The sequence below is a fragment of the Homo sapiens genome, chromosome 5 (genome assembly GCF_000001405.40).
Source record: "Homo sapiens chromosome 5, GRCh38.p14 Primary Assembly".
NCBI lineage: Eukaryota > Metazoa > Chordata > Mammalia > Primates > Hominidae > Homo > Homo sapiens.
The window spans coordinates 116,200,976-116,224,674 of record NC_000005.10 but is presented as its reverse complement, the minus strand read 5'-3'; the positions used below and the strand labels follow the sequence as shown (position 1 = coordinate 116,224,674).

The following is a 23,699-nucleotide window of genomic DNA, read 5'->3' as shown; positions in this document are numbered from 1 at the left end:
GCTTGGGGGAAGATCCCTCATGAATGGCTTGGTGCTGTCCTCACAATAAATGAGTTCTCGCTCTGAGTTCATATGAGATCTGGTTGTTTAAAAGAGTGCGGCACCGCGGCCCCGGACCCTTGTTCCCTCCTCTCACCATGTGATATGCCAACTCCCCTTTTGCCTTCCACCATGATTGTAAGCTTCCTGAGGCCTTACCAGAAGCAGATGAGAGCACTACACTTCCTGTACAGTCTGCAGAAACATGAGCCAAAATAAATATCATTCCTTTGTAAATTACCCAGTCTCAGATATTCCTTTATACCAACAAAAATGGATTAATATACTAGGCAATGGCTGGGAACTGTAGAGACAGTAAGTAAACACAGAGATGGCTCCTATCTACATAGAGTTTCCTAATTCTAGTGAACAGGAATAAACGAATTCCCAACTGAAGTCCTCATATAGACTCATGATTTATTTGAGTAGCAAGATTTATGAACTATTTCTCATTGAAAAGATACATTGGTTCAATTTTTTAAAAGGATTAAGAGTTAAACTACCAACCCCAGAATCCTTAGAACCTGGATTAAGAAACAGAAAGATCACCGTTAAATGAATAGTCCAAGAGATGGAAGTGGAAAATGGAAGCTTTGTTCTTAAAAAACGTAAAAGAGACAAACAGTAAAACCATTTCCATGGTCTTATAATGCTGCTCCAAACACATGCATTACTTTTAAAAAAATTTATAAAATGAATTCAGCACATGGAAACATAAAAATACTGTTAAGCAGTTCAGCAAAGAATACCAAATGGAATAACCTTCATTCTTAAGGCTATGTTGAGTGCCTTATTTTAATCAGGTAATTTCAAGTGTTGCCTTTGAACCATTCCAGTCTGGCTTCACCTCTTCTCACTGCCTCCACTCCTACGATCATGAACTTCTTTCAGGGTATCTTACAATACATTATAGTCGCTTCAGAGTTTTTGAACATACTATTCCTACACTCCAATAACATTCTCTCCAAACCCCTTCTGTCCCTCTCTGACTCAACCTTACGGTCTCACCTTATAGTCTGGCACAAATTTTTCCCGAGCTTCTCTGGATTAGGTTAAATCTCCCTGGACTATGTTCCAAAAGCACCATGAGCTTTTTGCTTTCTTAGAACTTCTAAAATTTCTAATTAGAAATTTAATGTTTCATTGACCAGGATGTGTGGAAATATATTCCCAGAGTCTGAGACAGTTTCTAGTACCTAATTTGGAGCTGAGTAAATATTTGTTAAATAAACATTAAAATAAAATATAGATAGCCATATCCTTACTATTTTTTTTTGTTCCACATATTACATTGTAATAAGAACTTTTTTTCTCTGGTGTATACATTTAACTTATCTTATACTTCTCAATACTAAATAAAAATCCTCTGACTTTTCTAAATTAGTTCCTAGATTTGATTTCCTTACATTTTATCCTATCTCCTTTTTTTCAAAAAAAAATCCAATATAGAAAATATCTGACTTCTGTTAAGACTAATATTTATAATTTATAGGTGACAGCAAAATATAGTGAAAAATAGCAACTTCAAAGAAATAAGAACATAGACAAGTAAAATTAAAATAACACAATCTATGACATATTTTATATACTCCAATCAAGAGCAATCTGAAGATATCAACTAAAATAACCATAGTATTAAAAAGGGCGGCTGAGCGCAGTGGCTCACACTTGTAATCCCAGCACTTTGGAGGCTGAGGTGGGTGGATCACAAGGTCAGGTGTTCAAGACAAGCCTGATCAACATGGTGAAACCCTGTCCCTACCAAAAATACAAAAAATTAGCCAGGCGTGGTGGCATGTAACTGTAGTCCCAGCTACTTGGGAGGCTGAGGCAGGAGAATCGCTTAAACCTGGGAGGCAGAGGTTGCAGTGAGCCGAGATGGCACCACTGCATTCCAGCCTGGGCAACAGAGCAAGACTCCCTCTCAAAAAATAATAAACAAATAAATAAATAGGCTAAATGTTGTTTTCTTTTGAATTCTAGCTCTTTTGTGAACAAAAGGCCAAAATGAAAAACTGAGATAATTTCTTGTAAGATTATCTTTCTGTCCAGCCTCATGTTCCTGAAAAGAACATTAAATTCCCTCATAAAACATAGTGTCAACTTTACAAATACAAGTAGACTTTATTCTACTTCTAAAATCATATTCCCACTGAACTAGATGAGTCAATGAGTCAATTTAATATAATTTGAATATAAGACTTTGATACCCTAATGGGTACAGAAACTATAATTGTTGACCAGAATAATTCTAATTCATACTAAAAAGATTCCATGTTTTTACCAAAAGAGATTTCAGGATGAGATTTCCAAATTAAAATATTAAAATTTAATTCCAATAGTCAAAACTAAGTTTTGTTAAGGTCCATACAGACTGCCTTACTATTTATTTTCTTCAACTCTTGAGAATGTTTTCATGAGAATAGAGTAACAGACTTAAATTAGATTTGACTATCACTGAAGAGAGTAAGAAGTTACAATTTCATCTCAATTATGCTCTGTGTCCTTCCCTAACTTCTTAACATCCCAGATGGCATTAACATTCTTTTTCCTCCTATGACCACATCTCTATTTGGAACATATACACTTATCAGTATTATCTGCTGCACCAAGGCTTACCCACATCCACTCCTGGTAACTAAAGAAGATGCGGACATTGACAGATTCAGTTCATCTTTTCACAACCTGCTAAAACAGGCTTGATTTTTTTCTGGTTGAACTGCCTGCCTATCTACCTCCCTCCCTTCCTATCTACCTGTCTATGTTATGTGTTCTCTGGTAAGAAAAAATGTGGGAAAATAAGCAAAGGACTCCAAAAATCCATCTTTACTTTGCTCTTGGCTTCCTACTCATTTAAATAAAGAATGGTGGCTAGAACAACTAAAGCATAATGTTGAAAAACAGAAGCTATCCTGCACCTTTCAAAACGTAATAATGCTACATTTCATCTGTGCATAGCCCACAGTGAGGAGATGCAGGTATCTACACTTTTCCAAAGTCAAACCAAATAATTACTACTAAGACCTAAACCTAAGACCTTTTCTTCACAGCATTTCTAAGAGATCTTGAAAACACAGGCTCTCACCAGGGTTCTGTAACTAACTAGCAATGTAACCATGAGTAACTACATAGCCAAGAGTATCCTCAGTAATAAGATTAAGGGACTGGTGTTTAGATTCAAGACCAACAAATTTGTACGCCTGATCTACAGTAACGGACCAATATACTGAGATAGCAGGGTTTGTAACACAGAAAGAATTTAATAACCACAGGGTGGCTGAGAAAGGAGATGGGAGGAGACCCTCAAATCCATCTCCCAGAGGAGTTCTGGGCTGGGGATTTTAAGGAGATAGTAGAGGGCAAGGGGCTGGAAATTTGGGGTCATTGATTGGTTGGAATAAGGGAGATGAAATCATGAAGATACCGAGTGCATTTGCTGAGACAGCTCACCGTCAGACCAGCTGGTGCCTGTAGTTTCACTGGTATGCAGGACCTGAAAGTGTATCTCAAAGGTGCCAATGTGCCTTTGGAACAGTTAAAAAAAAAAAAAAAAAGAGTATCTCAAAGGGAAAACTTAATGTTTCATAATGTTCAAGTTGTTTTCTATGGAGCAGTTAAGGAGAATTATAATCTAAGGTCTTTGTGATTGTAGGACAATAGGCACCAAACAACTATGAAGAAGCAGACCAGAGAGCAAGCCTCACCTAGTGATTAACGCTGAATGTGCTGCAAGCTTGGTTTTTGTTTCTCCCCATCCCTTCTTCCCTGATTAATTTTATAAGTTTATAGGGAGGGTTTCATTTAAAAGATGGTCCCTTTAAAATAATTTTTTAAACCCACTCTACAGATTCCCATAGGGTAATAGGTATAAGCTGTTATTATTTGTTGTTTGAAAGCATTAACTACAGGTGCCACAAATTTAGAAACATAATTTTTCAGTTGATGATTTAGATTTACAAAGTAATTAAGTACATTTGAAAATGTGGAATAACAGACGTGTGAGTTATATTATTTTTCCAGTGTTTATACAATGCTTGGGTTGCATATGTATCCCTGGATCCTTATAACTCTACTCTTCTTTCTCTCACAAAAAGTCCAAGGCTACCAACCTCAGAAACTCTGACCTATACAGACATGTTCCCTTCCATCCCCTAACACTCCCAAAGTTTATTATCTACGATGTTCACCTCTTCCAAAGAAAAAAAAAATGGAATGAAAGAATTACAGGGAAAAGATAAACATGATCACCTCTCAGTCATCTACTGTGACATTCTCTAGGGGCTTAGAATTCCTTTACTTCCTGATTAAATCCCCCAAAACTCAATTCACGTAGTCTTCACTCCTGAAGAACATGAATGAGACAGAATGTGTTTGAGAAACTCAGTACCTAGATTGTTATCTGAGACTTTATGCCTGATTTTGCTCCCTAGGTACCTACAAACAATTTTTGGATGTACTGTTATGTCTTATTATCTTAAAAAACACACTTTAATATGGTTTCTTCTACTTAAGAACCAAAATTATCTCCCAATTGTCTATCATAGAAAGCTTCAGCTTTGATAACTGACTTTCAAGGTTAGAATAACCTGGGCTCCGACTATGTATCCAAAACAATTTAACATATAACCTTATGACCCAAACCTGACAAAGACAGTATAAAAAAGAAAAAGTAGAGACTATTTAATTCCTTAATAAAAAACTCTATCAAAATATTATCAAATCCATCAGTGTTTGAAAAAAATACCAGAAAGAGGCAGTTTACAAAAAAATAGCAAAGTAATCGATATGATTTTTTCACAAATTAGAAAGCAAACATCATATGATTCAAAACCATAAGATTACATCATTAGACACAGAAAAGTATTTGGTATTTTCAGCAGCTATTTGCATTAGTTACCTATGGCTGCTGAAAACAAATTACTACAAACTCAATAGCTTAAACAAAAAGAAATATATTCCCTCACAAAGTCCAAAATAGTTTCACTGGGCAGAAAACAAGGAGTCAGCAGGGCTATATTCCCTCTTGGAAATCTGCTTTTTGCCTCTTCCTCCTTCTAGCTGCCAGCATTTCTTGACTTGTGGCCATTATCCCAGTCTCTACCTTAGTGATCGTACCACCTTCTCTTATGTATGTCTGTGTCAAATCTCCCTCTGCCTCTCTCTTATAAGGACATTTATTATTGTGCTTATGGCCTACCTAGATAACCCGGGATAGTCTCCCAATCTTTTTTCCTTTTAAGGTAATGCTTACACAGTCCACAGAGTAGCAGTTTCTATCTGTGAGGAGCTGTTATTCCGCCTACTGCACTACTACTAAAATGGGAAGGGGAAGGGGAAGGGAAAGGGAGAAAACTGTATGTATCGGTTTGCTAGGGCTGCCATTAACGAAATGCCACAGACTGGGTGGCTTAAACAACAGCCACCAACAATAGCCTCCAGATTTTCAACAACAGCCTCCAGACTTTCAGTTCTGGAAGCTGAAAGTCCAAGATCAAGTTGTCCGCAGGGCTGGTTTCTCCTGTGGCTTCCCTCCTTGGCTTTTAGATGGTCTTGTCTCATAGGTTTTCTCTATTAAAGCAGACACCTGGTAGCTAGTCTTTTTCTTACAAAGACACCAGTCATACTGGATAATAGCCCTATCCTTATGATCTCATTTAACCTTAATTACATCATTAAAGGCCCTATCTCCAAATACAGACACATTGGGAGTGACAGCTTCAACATACAAATTTTGAGGAAGCACAATTCAATCTATAACACTGTCTAAAAATATTAATATGGGGGTAGAGTCAACGCCCTATTCAAAGCTAACTGGGATTTTCCAGTGACAAAGGAAGGAATGTAAGTTCTTTTGGAGCCCTTACTACTCGACTACTATTCAGGACTGTCCCTAAAATGTTCTCATAGTATTTATTCTTTCTTCTATTCTGCCTCACCAAGAGAATGCTTCTTGGGAATATGGTTCTACTTTCCTTGCTTCCAAGAAAATTTGTGTCAAACAGGGAATAGGGAAGCTCTTACCACTACCCCATATACCTGTCCTAAGTAAAGGACTCTTGGTTTTATCAAGTTGGATAAATTTCTTTAGAAAATTGCATTTTGCTGTCATTAAGAAGCATCCTTAGAAATTGTGTGAGGAAAAACTATTTTTAACAGTGAAAAGTAATAAACAACTTAAATGTACACAATAGTCAATATTTATAAAGAATTTACTATTAAGAGTGGTTGATTTGGAGCAGTATGAACAAGAGGCAAGAACGACCCCTGGACTCACCAAAGCCCACATGCCTCTGCATCCTACGCCCAGTGCCTATGTCCCACCACCATCACTGCCACCACCATGCCCAAGAGAAAGGCTGAAGGGGATGCTAAAGGAGATAAAGCCAAGGTAAAGGACGAACCACAGAGAAGATCTGCAAGGTTGTCCGCTAAACCTGCTTCTCCAAAGCCAGAGCCCAGGCCTAAAAAGGCCCCTGCAAAGAAGGGAGAGAAGGTACCCAAAGGGAGAAAGGGAAAAGCTGATGCTGGCAAGGAGGGGAATAACCCTGCAGAAAATGGAGATGTCAAAACAGATCAGGCACAGAAAGCTGAAGGTGCTGGAGGTGCCAAGAGAAGTGTGTGCATTTTTGATAACTGTGTACTTCTGGTGACTGAACAGTTTGAAATACTATTTTTACCAAGTTTTATAAAAATGCAAAATTTTGTTTTACTTTTTTTTTTTGAGCTATGCTGTTAGCACACAGAACACTTCATTGTTGTTTTGTGGGGAAGGGGCATATGTCACTAATAGGGTGTCTTCGAAGCTGGATTGATGTGGGGAAAACACTTTTCCCTTCTAGTTTTGAGAGACTTACTCTTGGCTCCCAGGAGGGATTCCGCGACTTTGACACATATGGCCACCTTGGCACAAAAGCCTTGTGGTATGGAAAAACAAAATCATTTTTATCTCTCTTCTCCCTTCCCATCTATCAGCACAGACTTAACTCCCTTAAGCCCAGACATCTGTTGGGACCTGACCTCCAGTCATTGGTTACCAGTGTGTCAGGCAATCTGGACTTTTCCGGGATGCCACTGAGATGGCACCTGTCAAAAGAGCAGTGGTTCCGTTTCTAGATTGTGGATCTTCAGATAAATTCTGCCGTTTTCATTTCACTTCCTGATAGTCAGGGTCAGCTTGTGAAAAGTTGTTAAACAACATGCTAAATGTGACATGTCAACCCTCACTCTAAACTTTGCCTGTTCAGAGCATCAGATGAAGACTTCATTGGGTTTTATAGTGGCTTTCTGATTTTCGGTAGTCCATTGAAGAAGGTAGTTAAGTTTGAAAGTTGTTGTGTACTGTTAATGACTGTCTGCCCATGTTCTGCCTGAAATACCACGACTGTTTATGGAAAGTATCTTTAATAAAGCTGGATACAGTTTGGCTTGGAAAAAAAAAAAAGAGTGGTTGATTTGCACAGTGGGATTGCGGGGACTTTTTTTTTTCTTCTTCATACTTGTTTGTATTTTCCAAATCTTCCCTAAGGTCATTTATTACTTTTAGAATTTAAAAATTATTTTATAAAAATATGTAAAGCTCTGGTTTTTTAATGACTATGTAATGACTATGTCTACTCAAAAGTATCTTCAAAATGACCTATTTAAAAATCTATCCCCTCAAAACATCCTGATAAATCCTTTCATCTTTTTTTGGACTAAAAATACAGTGTAATAACTGAAGAACAGGTTAAAAAATGTTAACTAAACTGTAATTTAGAATTGATATGATTAATTTATATCCACTTTAGAAATTTCTATGCTAGGGCCCGGTGCAGTGGCTCACGCCTGTAATCCCAGCACTTTGGGAGCCTAAGGCAGGCAGATCATGAGGTCAAGAGATCGAGACCATCCTGGCCAACATGGTGAAATTCCCCATCTCTACTAAAAATGCAAAAATAAGCTGGGCGTGGTGGCGCACACCTGTAGTCCCAGCTACTCGGGAGGCTGAGGCAGGGGAACTGCTTGAACCTCCGGGAGGCACAGGTTGCAGTGAGCCGAGATCGCGCCACTGAACTCCAGCCTGGTGACAGAGCAAGACTCCGTCTCAAACAAACAAACAACAAAAACAAAAAAAGAAATTTCTATGCTAGACATGTGTAACATCTGCTGATGACTGTAATGTTTGTAATAGTTCTAGTGAAAATATGGGACTTGTACAAAAACATAACCTATTATGAAACTATCTCTATGACAACATCAGATTTGTTTTATGCTTCTACTGAAAGCACAAGAACAAACTTTCTAGTCCATATAAGTACTGTATACATGCTAAGTGTGATGAGTTTTTCTACCTTTTGTTAACATACATTTAAAAACTCAATCTTCCTCAATGAGAAATTTTCTGATTAATTTGCGTCTGTCCTTTTTCCAATAATAAAGATCTTGTGTAATGGTTAAAAATATAAATTTAAAAACAGGATTTCCTTAATGTTAAAGATGTAGGCAAAAATATTGGATACTGGGGTTCTTTTAGGATTAAACCTCTAATCTGTCTAATTGGAGAAAATTATCAATGTGGTAATGGTCTGGATTGTTTTACTTCAGAACAACTGTTCCCTGATATCAAATTCTATAAATGATAAGGCCTTTCCTTTCCCACGAATGGCAACTTTAGAAATAGCTTTTCTATTTTGACCTCTATATTAAGAAGGACAAAAAACATTATTTTCCTTCTAGGTATTCAGTATATTTTCCAATATTCATCTGCAAATTTTCTTCACAACAGCAATGTTAATTTTTTTTTAAAAGAAGACTCCACATTGATTACAAGTAAACAGAACATATTAAAAGTATAAACAAATGAGAAGAGGAGAAAATGCTATTTATTTTTAAATAAAGTACTATATTTATATGAATTATATATACATATATATATATATATATATATATATATATATATATTTCTTTTTTTAGCTGGACTCCCACTCTGTCGCCCAGGCTGGAGTGCAGTGGCCTGATCTCAGCTCACTGCAACCTCCGCCTCCCGGGATCAAGCGATTCTCTTGCCTCAGCCTCCTGAGTAGCTGGAACTACAGGCACACGCCACCACGCCTGGCTCATTTTTGTATTTTTAGTAGAGACAGGGTTTCACCTTGTTGGCGAGGATGGTCTTGATCTCCTGGCCTCATGATCCACCAGCCTTGGCCTCCCAAAGTGGTAAAATATTTAATATAATATTCATGAATTTTTCAAATTTTATAAAAGCTAGATGTAGCAGTAATGACTCCCTCACTAAATGAATTTGACCATACTGCATCAATACTAGCTATAATACTTAAAATATTTTGAAGTATTTTCTTTGATATAAACTTTATATACTTACATCTGTATAAAATGTTGACTATACAACTATTCATTTCTTTTTCTTATATTCCATAACACCCAAATTTTTTACCCATTTGCCGATTCAAACACTATTTAAAAATGAGGCTAATACCTTAAAATGAGAGATACCAAAAGTATAATTATTATATATCAATAAAATATATTTTCTCTCAAAAGAAACTAAACCAATATGGGTAAAAACTATATTAAGGATTACTTTTTAGGAAAAACACCACAAACTATTAAGAAAAAATGAAAATCCTCTATTTGCATAGAAGGCTGGGGAGAAAAGACCTCCAATATCTCAACTCATCTCCAGCCCCATAATTTGTGACTAATAAGTGGGAATGAAAGTATAGAAAATCTGCTTCACTTAGCTAACAGTTAGGATTATAAAAGAGATCGTATTTTTCCAAAATATTATGATAAAAGCTTGCTACACACTGCTTTGATTATAAAAAGAAGAATCACTGCAGGAAACAATGTAGCAGACATTTAAATGGGTATATTTCCTATGTTAATGTATACTGAGGCCTGGAGTCCCAAAATTGAGGCCATAATTTAACCGCAGATAAATGAAAAAATGATAATACTAATGAAAAGATCAGAGTAAAAAGAGATTTCAATGCAATTCAATTTAACAAATATTAAGCACCCATTAATTGCCTGGTTTTGAAGGTCACATAGAACACCTTGAAGAAACTTCTACATGTTTTAGTTTCCTCATCAAAATGGCAATACCATTTAATGCTTACAGTGGTTAAGATCCAGTAAGGTAATATGTAAAAGTGCCTGTAACAATTAAACATCCAATGAATGACTGTTTATTCTATTATTTTTATTAACATAACCAATGTGCTTCTTTCTTTGGTGACAGAATAAAAAAGTTTTGTTTTAAAAAATTTAATTTCCACATTAGCAAAACAGCTTCACATTTGCTCATTAATGTAGTTAGTAAATTTCATGAGAGTGGATACTGTAATTGTGAAATTACTGTCTACTTTAGAAACATTAATGAAGACAAAAATTATATTTTCTATTTCTTCCCTTGTTCATTTACAACTTTATGGTTCTACTTTCCAAGAAGTTTGCATCCCTTAGGCAATACAAAGGTCCAGAAAGCAACAGCTAAAGGTTTAAAGACAAAGTTTGCCTCTCAAGTCCAATTCAGAGAGAATGAAATATACACAAACACAATAATCAACCATTGTTTAGGCTACCCTACATAATATACTACTATTGTCTGTAAGCCACAGAGTGAGGGTTCTGTATTTTCATAAAAGCAGGATTTCTAAATATGATAATTAAAAATTCAAGCCAAAGTTGTTTTAAAATATTCTATTCCATGAAAAGGACTGAATGTAAAATACAAAAAAATTCCTTTTTGTCCCTTTTAACAACAAATTTGGGTATATAAGTAAAATTTCATAAATCATTCACATTTTATCAAGCACCTTAACATGGTATTTGTACTAAAATACGAATCACATAAAGAAGAAATAACACTGTATTATGAAAAGGTCACAAATTTTCTGGAAAATTAAAATAAGACTAATAAAAAAATATATGGTATCTAAGTTTTTCCTCACTAATATGCAATTAGTGAGGAAATGAGATGGCAAATGGTAACTCAATGTAAAAGACTTCTGAACAGGTTATAAATCCGTTGGTCCTTAACCTTTCATGGGTTACAGACTTGAAAATACTCATATATCCTTCACAGAAAAAATGTGTATGCACGTATACACAAAATGTGGCAGACAATTTCAGGAGTTTCACAGATCTTCTGAACACAGACCCTATACAGGTTAAGAATCTTTACACAGATCCTTAATATTCAGTGATTATTTTTACCATGACCCAGAGGTCCAGGGTCTATGCTAATTTATCATTTTGCTGAGACCCACATGTGACTCACACTAACAGAAAGCTGTAAGACTGATGTGAAGTAACAAGAACTCAACTAGCAAGGGAGCCTAGTATTCACATCTGTTTGAGTCTGGCATCTTTACAACTCCTATTAGTGGAAAAATTATTAAGAATTGCTTTAGTAGTAATCATTAATATATTCAGAAGGTCTCTGAACTTCTCATAATTAAAAAGGGAAGACTGTTTTTTCATACCCTAGGGCTCCTTGGCAAGTTATATCATAATGGTATTCTAGCAGAAAGCAGGCCAATAAAATATGACAAACCAATCAAAAAATAAAGCATATTATCTTTATAGATAATCATTAACATACTTATTAAATCCCTAACATATTAACTTCCTATCATTGTGTAATTTACAGAGACAAAAGATACAGACCCAATCTTCTAAGAGCATTCACTGTTACACACCAGGCTTATACCTGAAAATACTGACCCAAAAAACCACATGACATAAATTTTATTATGGATACCCCAGAACAAGTAATTTTAAGTGTCAGATATATACAGAATATTCCACAGTTTCTATAATCATTAAAATTCTAACATACATTTTCTGATAGCCTTCGATGTTTGTACTAAGTTATATACCACTATTAAGTTGAAGCAAACCATTAAAAATCCAGCTAGTTTTCTTAAAGTTGGTCTCATAAAATGTGATGAATTCATTATTTAATTTCAATAAAATGTCAATAGTAATTTCATTAAATAGTATACAGCTTACATGCTTATTTTAAAATCAGAAGTTCTATACATCTATCACCCTGGCCTATCTCTTCACTTTACACCCACATGAACCTATCCAACCCCCCTCACATTCTACACACACACACACACACACACACACAGCATTTCAGTACCTTCTGTCACTGGAACCTCATTTCTGATATTCATTCCCCTTGCAGGCCTGCTCTGCAAAAAGCCCCAATCCTCTGCAAAAAGCCCCAATACAGAAGGACTACCACTGGCTTGGATATGTAGATATATTTACTTCTATTCTTCAAAAGATAAAAGGATGCCTGGAGAGAGGATTACTACTTCTACTTTTATAACTTCAGGAGGGAAAAATACAGTTCCTGGCTTATCAAATTGTAGCTGTGACTGTATTTTCCCATCAAACCACTGCTACAGATGGTTATTTCTATGGTATTATTTATATTACGCTAAGTTACATTATGAATTAAATCAACTTTTGAAAGGAGGAACAGAAACCTAAAGAATATTTATCAAGTTGTGTTCAGGGGAAGGAATTAAGAATTAAAATACAGATGGTAATAGTTTACTGTGTATGATGTGTACAGGGCACCATGGCAAGTAGTTTACATATATTCTCATTTAATCAACACAAAGAAGCAGGTATTATCATTACTTGACACATAAGAAAACCAAGGCTCAGAAAGTCAGAGCTGGAAGTCAAATGTCATTCTATCTGATCCAAGTCTGTGCTGTTAGCTATCACACTTCATTGTTTTGTATGTATGTTTCAAGTTTTAAATATCATTGTAAAATATAATCTTAATATTTCATGAACAGTTGACTGCCTCTGTGAGAGAGTGTGCGTGTGCATGTGTGTGTATGAGTGTGTAATGTAGCTGCAAATAGACATTTATTAAACTTGTTTTGCTTTTTGGAATCTACTTATTTAAAATACTCCATATATTTGAGAAGCAATTGAAAATGCATCCATGTATGTTATTTGAGCGTTACTAGAAATTTATTTATACAAATCCATATTAATGTGCTAATAAGTGACAAATATATATATAGTCATGCACTGAATAATGATGTTTTGGTCAATGATGAACTGCACATACAATGGTGGCCCCATAAGATTAAAATAGAACCAAAATTTCCTATGGCCTAGTGATGCTGTAGCCATCATAATGTGGTAGTGCAACCCATTACCTTTTCTATGTTTAAATATACAAATACTTACCACTGTTTTACAATTGCCTATAGTATTCAGCACAGTAACATGCTGTATAGGTTTACAGTCTTAGAGTAACAGGCTATATGATATAGCATAGCTGTGTAGTAGGCTATACCATCTAGGTTTGTGTAAGTATACTCTATGATGTTTGCACAGGGATCAGATTGCCTAACAACACATTTCTTAGAATGTATCCCTGTCATTAAGTGATGCATGACTGCATATACATACAAATATACATACATATACATAAACACACACATAAACATAATTATATAGAGATATAACCATCCCTTATTGGTTGAATTTCTCTGAAGAACTCTAATATAATGATTCCATTATAATTTTTTCCAAAATTTAGCAATATTTAAATTATTAACAAAATATACCAAGCATTAATAAAAACCGAAATAATATTAAACACAATAATTTCAAATATTAAGTCACCTTCTTCAATGTAAATGTTCTTGTAACTATGTATTATTATTATCTTTTCTAGAGGAATAATAATAGGCAAAGCAAAAAATTTTTAAAGACAATTACTTGCTTGCTTCTATTTTTAATGTACCATGTGAGAGAAAAATAAGTTCTTTACCTATGACGAATGATTGTGAAAAGAAAAATCCTAACACTATAAACACTTGGACAAGATCGTATAGTAAATAAGTAAAACCTGGTTTTGAAATAAGGTGGCAGTGATAAAGGTAGTAAGAAGTGGTTGCATTTAGCATATATTCTGAAAGTAGAAATGACAGGATTTGTTGATAGACTGTATGTGGAATATAAACACACAGATCACCACAGACTATTCATAAATGCTGACTAGATAAACAATGTCTAATAGTAAGTTTGTAATGTGATCTATTACTTGTCAACAAATATACCCTTATTGAGCAGTTTTCAAAATACTGAACGTATGCTCTATAATATTACTTAGATTGTATTTCACAACTTCCTCTGCTATCATCCCTACCATCAATGACTTTTAAAATATAATTATCTTCCTAAGAAAAAGATCTATAAACACACATATAAACACATAAGTATGCCTGTATATGTGTGCTTGCGTGTATATATATGTATATATATATATAAATACATACATAATTTAACAGAATAAAATGCTTAAGTTTAACAAAATACATAACTGCTATGGTTTGTCTCCTCAAAAACTCACATTGAAATTTAATTGCCATTGCAAATGTATTGAGAGGTCAGACCTTTAGGAGGTGATTAGGTCAGGTGGATACCACCCTTGTGAATGGATTAAGACTGTTATTGCAGGAGTGAGTTAGTTATCAAGGAAGTAGGTAGTTATAAAAAGAATAAGTTTGGCCCCGATTTTTTCTCTGTCTTCTAAGCACAACTCCTCTTCATGTGATGCCTTCTGCCACATAATGATGCAGCAAGAAGGCCCTTACCAGATGCCAGCATCCTGCTCTCAGATTTCTCAGCCTTCAGAACTATGGGTCAAATAAATCTCTATTCTTTACAATTTACCCAGTGTGTAGTATTATTATTGCACCAGAATAAAGAGAGTAACTATATAAAATGTTTTTTAAAATTAAGATGTCACCATTCTTGTGAATGAGTAGCTGACAATATCTTAAAGAAGACTGCCAAATAGATCTGTCCAAAAAAACTGTAAATATATACAAAAACATATATTTAAGAGACGCGTGGAGAAAGTTAATTGAAAATACTTTAACAAGCACGCTATGACTTCAGATAACACTCATTCCTTGCTACTAACCGCTATTGAATTTTATACGTTGGCTTTTTTTCTTAGTGTTTTGAGACCATTTAACTAGGCAGAAGCATGGGTTCAGTTCAGTAGTACCACACATACTAGCCATATGAATAAACAAATACGTCCTTTTAATGCTCCTGGTCTATTATTTCTGCTACAAAATGAGATTAACAGTAATACTTGCAAGGTACTTTAGAACTAAAAGTCATACAGAATATTCTAAGCTTTTGGTTGTGATTTGCCAAGAAACACTATTTTGAAATCAGTATTAACTACAGATTTGGTGCGCCAAACTGGCAACTATGTTGTTAGTGGTCAGTTAAGATAATCTTTTCTGTTCTAAAACAATGAAACCATTAAGTGCCAAATTTACAAAGCCTGAAGCAGTAAGTAGAAAATATTACACTTAATCTCTTGTTTTTATAAAGGTCAGGGGAAAACAAAACTAAAATTAAAATTTCCACATGGAATTATAAGAAAAAATTATTAAATTAGTCAAAGTACAGCATATAATGTGCAAACTACAAACAAAAAGAAAAAAAAAGTTGATCTAAACGTATCGCTTTAAAAGGCTTTAGGGTAAGACTTGGAAAAAGTGGAATAGCCATGGAAGAGGAATCAGATTAGTACACCAAGAACAAAGAAAAGAGAGACAGAATCTGGCAAATAAAAAACAAAAGTAAAAATTTAGAAAATCACCATTCACAACAAAAGATTTTCCCAATGTTTGGTCTAACAAACGAACTATAATTACAATGGATAAACAGTACCTGCATCCCATAAATACACAGCAGTAACTGTGTAAAAGTTTAAGAATAAATGAGGTAACCCTTACAAAGCATTCAACAGAAATTTGTATGTATGCCTCTACATCCAAAAGATAAAATAACAGGGAACCGTTCAGACTTCCCTGTTTGTTCTCAATCACAGAGAAAGCTTAGTGAAAAAGCAAGACAAGAAAAAAACGTGTGGTCACCTCTATGTCTATTCACACAGTGAAAAAAGGAAGCTTGTGCTCACCTCCACTGAAATCACTTTTATGTGTTTCAATTATTGAATACTAAAGGTGCAAGTGTCACATAGACCAAGGTAGATTACTGTGGTCCCTATCCTTCTAAGAACTTAAAATTATAAACAAAGGGATCCCAAAGAGTCAGAATTCAAATAAATAATCCACATTAGCAACATGTACAAGGAGGGAATAACTGTTCATTACTGCACAGTGCATACCAAGGAGTCGTGTCTGCTTCATGTATAGGAATGGCTAGACAGGGGATGTTAAATGAGGAAGCTTCCAAGAAGTGATGGACTTACAGGAGCCTTTTTGGTGGGGGGAGGTGAACAGAGGGTATTCCAAAGGTTACACAGGACTTGGAAAAGGCTCCAAAAGTGCAATAAAATGTTTATAACTGAATACAGCTGGTCAAATCACTTTTACAACATGGTTAGAGATACTAACCTGTATGTTCCCTTTTCTAACATCAGTGCCAAATGTTTTACATGCATTGTTTAACCCATACATTATCTTATTTAAGATAGAGTTATATTTATTTCAGCAAGAAGGAAACTCAAACAAATAATGAAGTGATTTCTTCAACTTTTCTAGTAAGCAGTACAACCACAACCAAGAACAGAACCCAGGCATTGCAATTCAGGAGCCCATGTTCTTACCTACCATCTCTACTAAACCGCAACTCCATAATAGCAGGAATATGAAGGTCTCTTATTCCCAGAGATTAACACAATGTCCTACCCATAGTAGTCTCTCATTAAATAACAGCCAAAAGAAAGAATGGGAGGCAATGTTAAAGGTTGGGAGTGTGATACAGAGAAAATACTGATTTTTGGCAGGGCATGGTGGCTCACACCTGTAATCCCAGCACTTTGTGGGGCTGAGGCAGGTGGATCACTGGGAGTTAGAGACTAGCCTGGCCAACGTGGTGAAACCTCATCTCTACTAAAAACACAGAAATTAGCTGGGTGTGGTGATGCATGCCTGGGGTCCCAGCTACTTGGGAGGCTGAGGCATAAGAATCGCTTGAACCCAGGAGGCGGAGGCTGCAGTGAGCCCAGATCATGCCACTGCACTCCAGCTTGGGTGACAGAGTGAGACTTTGTCTCAAGAAAAAAAAATCTGAAATACTTATTTTTTTCCCCTCTCTGATACTGCAATGTTCTGAAACCAGTTGAGAGAAACTGATGAATAAAAGAGAACATCGATATTATCTTTGTACAACTTCTTGAAGGACCAAAAAGAAGAATCCAGAAAGTAACAGATCTCTCACTATATTCATGTCCTTCTCTAAGAAAGGGAATTATTCATTTCAGTGGTTCACAATTTGGATATACAGATTTATCTAAACTATTAGTAATAAAACACAATGCAGTTCATATTGATATAAAACATAGCTATTGGACATTTATAACTCCTAAAAATTAAATGCCTATATGCTTATTTCAAAACCATGGGAGTAAAAAGAGCAAATATTCTAGATTGAATATAACACACATACTGACATAGTGATATAATAATTGTAATTATTAATAGAGAAATTTGCCAGATTCAAATAACTCAGTTCAAGGACAAAAACATATGAAAAGTACTTCAGATTCTCTCACATGTTCACTAACCTCAGTTCTTAAAAAATAAAAAAGCCTATTAAAATAGCAAAAGAAAAAAATTAGAATGTATCTTTGAAGTTTTTTTCATACAACATTTCCGTTTACAATTTTTTGAGGAGATGGAGAGAGAAGAGCTGTTGCTTCCTAATGCCTACCAATCCAACAGAATCAGGTTCTCAAAGGAAATTAGATTGAATATCCCACACTGGCTGGAATATATTTCTGATTTTAAAATCTGCCAAAGAGGTTTGCTTATTGCAGTTTATCTTCCATAGAGTACATATGAATTGTATTTTTATTTCACCAATTATATTCTCCAAGAATATTCTCCCTCCTTTAAATACGTGAACAGCTGTCTCCAATTTTTTTCTTTTCTTTTTTTCTTTTTTTGAGATGGAGTTTCACTCTTGTTGCCCAAGCTGGAGTACAATGGCACTATCTTGGCTCTCTGCAATCTCTGCCTCCCGGATTCAAGCAATTCTCCTGCCTCAGCCTCCCAAGTAGCTGGGATTACAGGCGTGCACCACCACACCCAGTTAATTTTTTGTATTTTTAGTGGAAACTGGGTTTCACCATGTTAGCCAGGCTGGTCTTGAACTCCTGACCTCAGGTGATCTGCCCACCTTGGCCTCCCAAAGTGCTGGGATTACAAGCATGAGCCACCGTGCCCGACCACCGTCTCCAATGTCTATGCTTTTCCAGTGCTAGAAATCAATGATAAATGTGCATATGGGTTGATCTACCCATGAGAAAAATGGAAACTGCTGTTTCAACTCTAAGGCTACTCAATGGAACAAATAGAGTAGGAAGTTTAAACAGTTCCGCTGGCCTAAAATCCATAATAAATTTGTACAAATTTCCTTCATGAATTTTGTGAAATACACAATCATACCCCACCATAAACTAAATATGAAGCTCCTTGGGAGCTGATGTTCTGAACGTTTGATCTGAAGATATTTCAGCAGTGAGCTAATAATTTCAGAAAACAATTTTCAGAATTAAGTATGATGAAATTTTATTCAACTTTGTTTCTCAAGTGCCCTTTTACTTCCAGACACTATCATACAAATGATACATGTAAACTAACAAGGGAGGAAAAAGAATCAGTGGAAATGATTCAAAGTGTTTTCGGGAAATAAGAAACCCTGAGAATAATGTAAAGCAAATATATATCTGAAAGTATCAAGAAAATAAAGTAAAAATCAAATAGATGCTAAAATATGTTTACATTAAAAATACTCAAGTGTTCTTAACACTTATGATGTGAAGCTGAAAGGAACTGTTATAACAACTTATTTCTTAAAAGGCGCCATCTTGACCTCATTTTTTAATTTTATATTTTTCCAAGGTATGAAATAGAATGCTATTTAGAAAGGAACATACAGATACACATAAAAACATATACACACAAAAACATACACACGTGTCTATATGTGTACATACACACAGATCTATAGCCATATATGTATTCACACATGTATATATACATATGCATATATGGGTATATGTGCATATGTATATGAGGTAGTTTTCAATAAATCCCGTAACTGAAAGGAAGGCTAGAAAAGTTTCCTAATAAAACAGATTACTGGAATCTTTTCCTCCAGGTAAAGAATGATTACTGCTTTCAGAAGATGGTAAAAATTCAGTAACACCAGATGCTACTATAGGTAGTATACTAATTAAGATTTAATGTATTTTTCTCTTCCAACAACTAAATAGGGAGGGACTGCAGAATTCTTTTATATTGCTAGGAAAATCGTATAATGGTCAGAAAAATGAAAATACAGGTCCATGAAAAAAATTCTGTTTGCTTTCATTTGTTTAAGGAATGTTTTCACTTATGAAGAGACCCCTTCCTCTCTTTCATTTAGAATTTAAAATTTATATTTATTATTGCTTTAAGAGTTAAGGTGGATTTGGACAAACCAGATCATGACCATCTAGGAAATCTATGTTTAAAGCAATAAAATAAAGAGCGGCTGGAGCTTGGCAGTCATTTTACTAGTCTCATTTAGCAGCATCTAACAGAGATGGCAAGTTTTATCATGCACCTTTAACTACCAAATTCAAAAAACAAACAGAAGGTTTACCATGGGAGGTAGAGAGTGATCAGACTATATCCTTTAGATACTCTTCCAGTAAAACAGCATGTGTTGTCTAAAATTGCGATGGGAACCTGGGAGCTCATCAGAAAAATTGAGCTCTAGTTGAATGTCTTCTTTAATACCGTATACCACGACCTCCACAGTAAATAAAAGGTTGACAAGCAGACATTCATTGCAAGATCAAATATTAATATCAAAATGGAGTATAATGTTAAACTTTGCAATTTAATTATGGTGCTGAATTTGTATTCAGCATATTAAGTGTCAATGAGTGATTTTTTATTTGCATCTTATTATTGATTTTAACATATTCTGTAAATTCAAATAAAGGGGAAAGGCAGATTGCTGCTGCAGTTATACTTCTGCCTGTAACATAGAGGAAAAAGATTATACTATTAGATATTTCCTCCTCAAAAATGGCAGATAATCTTCTTAATATTCAGTACCATCAGGAACCAGAACTAAAAGGAAAATTATAAAGAAGGTAAAAAAAGAAAAAAAAAGGAGGATGGAGAAAACATCTAAATGAATATGGTATTACAAACAATAACAAGCCTCACTGTAATATTTCCCTATATGAACCATTCATATCACCTTTCAGAAAAGTGGAATTTAGTGAAATAGAAAGATAATTTAAAGTCTTCCATTATTATTGTGTGGGAGTCTAAGTCTCCTTGTAGGTCACTTAGGACTTGCTTTATGAATCCGGGTGCTCCTGTATTGGGTGCATATATATTTAGGATAGATAGCTCTTCTTGTTGAATTGATCCCTTTACCATGATGTAATGGCCTTCTTTGTCTCTTTTGATCTTTGTTGGTTTAAAGTCTGTTTTATCAGAGACTAGGATGCAACCCCTGCCTTTTTTTGTTTTCCATTTGCTTGGGAGATCTTCCTCCATCCTTTTATTTTGAGCCTATGTGTGTCTCTGCACGTGAGATGGGTTTCCTGAATACAGCACACTGATGGGTCTTGACTCTTTATCCAATTTGCCAGCCTGTGTCTTTTAATTGGAGCATTTAGTCCATTTACATTTAAAGTTAATATTGTTATGTGTGAATTTGATCCTGTCATTATGATGTTAGCTGGTTATTGTGCTCCTTAGTTGATGCAGTTTCTTCCTAGTCTCGATGGTCTTTACATTTTGGCATGATTTTGCTGTGGCTGGTACCAGTTGTGCCTTTCCATGTTTAGTGCTTCCTTCAGGAGCTCTTTTAGGGCAGGCCTGGTGGTGACAAAATCTCTCAGCATTTGCTTGTCTGTAAAGTATTTTATTTCTCCTTCACTCATGAAGCTTAGTTTGGTTGGATATGAAATTCTGGGTTGAAAATTCTTTTCTTTAAGAATGTTGAATATTGGCCCCCACTCTCTTCTGGCTTGTAGAGTTTCTGCCGAGAGATCCGCTGTTAGTCTGATGGGCTTCCCTTTGTGGGTAACCCGACCTTTCTCTCTGGCTGCCCTTAACATTTTTTCCTTCATTGCAACTTTGGTGAATGTGACAATTATGTGTCTCGGAGTTGCTCTTCTCAAGGAGTATCTTTGTGGCGTTCTCTGTATTTCCTGAATCTGAATGTTGGCCTGCCTTGCTAGATTGGGGAAGTTCTCCTGGACAATATCCTGCAGAGTGTTTTCCAACTTGGTTCCATTCTCCCTGTCACTTTCAGGTACACTAATCAGACGTAGATTTGGTCTTTTCACATAGTCCCATATTTCTTGGAGGTTTTCTGCGTTTCTTTTTATTCTTTTTTCTCTAAACTTTCCTTCTCGCTTCATTTCATTCATAGGGAAAGGATTCCCTATTTAATAAATGGTGCTGGGAAAACTGGCTAGCCATATGTAGAAAGCTGAAACTGGATCCCTTCCTTACACCTTATACAAAAATCAATTCAAGATGGATTCAAGACTTAAATGTTAGACCTAAAACCATAAAAACCCTAGAAGAAAACCTAGGCAATACCATTCAGGACATAGGCATGGGCAAGGCCTTCATGTCTAAAACACCAAAAGCAATGGCAACAAAAGCCAAAATTGACAAATGGGATTTAATTAAACCAAAGAGCTTCTGCACAGCAAAAGAAACTACCATCGGAGTGAACAGGAAACCTACAGAATGGGAGAAAATTTTCGCAACCTACTCATCTGACAAAGGGCTAATATCCAGAATCTACAATGAACTCAAACAAATTTACAAGAAAAAAACAAACAACCCCATCAAAAAGTGGGCAAAGGATATGAACAGACACTTCTCAAAAGAAGACACTGATGCAGCCAAAAGACACATGAAAAAATGCTCATCATCACTGGCCATCAGACAAATGCAAATCAAAACCACAATGAGATACCATCTCACACCACTTAGAATGGCAATCATTAAAAAGTCAGGAAACAACAGGTGCTGGAGAGGATGTGGAGAAATAGGAACACTTTTACACTGTTGGTGGGACTGTAAACTAGTTCAACCATTGTGGAAGTCTGTGTGGCGATTCCTCAGGGATCTAGAACTAGAAATACCATTTGACCCAGCCATTCCATTACTGGGTATATACCCAAAGGACTATAAATCATGCTGCTATAAAGACACATGCACACGTATGTTTATTGTGGCACTATTCACAATAGCAAAGACTTGGAACCAACCCAAATGTCCAACAATGATAGACTGGATTAAGAAAATGTGGCACATATACACCATGGAATACTATGCAGCCATAAAAATGATGAGTTCATGTCCTTTGTAGGGACATGGATGAAATTGGAAATCATCATTCTCAGTAAACTATCGCGAGGACAAAAAAACAAACACTGCATGTTCTCATTCATAGGTGGGAATTGAACAATGAGAACACATGGACACAGGAAGGGGAACATCACACTCTGGGGACTGTTGTGGGGTGGGGGGAGGGGGAGAGATAGCATTAGGAGATATACCTAATGCTAGATGACGAGTTAATGGGTGCAGCACACCAGCATGGCACATGTATACATATGTAACTAACCTGCACATTGTGCACATGTACCCTAAAACTTAAAGTATAATAATAATAAAATAAAATAAAAAGAAAGATAATTTAATTGGGAGTCCAAATATTTAGATTCTATTCCCACCTGTGTCACTTGCAGGGTGTGTAACTTTGGATAAATTAAAAACCTTACTTTGTTTCACAGACTTGAAACCCAACGACAACTTCTTATTCTCTTTAATGCTGCAGTGCAGTCCATGTCAGTCTGTGACATTAAGCTGGGATTTCTGGTTTCTGGTCTGGCATGTAAGAAGCTTGGAAGTCACCATTTCATCCTAACAACAAATACAAATCTCAACAAACTGAAAAATCAACGATTCTTCTCGGATCCATAAGAGAAGTCAAGTCATAGGGTAAACCATTGCCCCCCAGATTGGAGAGACAGATGTAAATACAGAGAATTGTAACTTATTGGAGTAGAAACCCAGAAGTAGAAACCTCCATGGGAGCTAGTGCCAGTGTAAGAAAACTTAAACAGCAATTAATTGCTGGAGTCAGTGTGGACAACTGTAAAAACTGAAAAATGCAGGGGCACCCAGCCATAAGGAGGCTCCTCACTTCTGTTGAGTTTAACCTCCAGAAACTTGATCTGGTTCTCACAGTGAATACTGGAGAAAAATCCACTCATGCTTCCAGCAAAGGAAAGGACACGCCATTTTTAAAATATGCCGGATCACTCTGTGCTTCTTACCAAGGTCTGCCCATAGAGGAAACTATTTAAACAGAGCTTAACCTGTTGGAGTTCTATCAGAGCCTAACTGACTTACAGGAAGGAAAATATCCAACTCCAGTTGGCACTAGCCTTCCAGGTGGGAGAAAGAAAATACCCAACTCCAGCTCACTCTAGCCATCTGTCCAACTGGAGAAGGATAAAAAAACTGAGAAGCACTTGTGAAATTCACAGTCAAGAGGCACAGGCTTACTAAAAAAGTGATACCTAA

The 23,699-nt window shown here is 35.7% G+C and overlaps 1 protein-coding gene and 1 pseudogene across 2 annotated transcripts in view; one reads left to right on the top strand and one right to left on the bottom strand.

Annotated features, from left to right (window-relative positions):
- COMMD10 (COMM domain containing 10) overlaps nt 1–23,699 on the bottom strand; it is a 208,263-nt gene that overhangs the window by 68,613 nt on the left and 115,951 nt on the right. The window lies entirely within an intron of this gene.
- On the top strand, nt 6,273–6,849 carry HMGN2P27 (high mobility group nucleosomal binding domain 2 pseudogene 27; annotated as a pseudogene).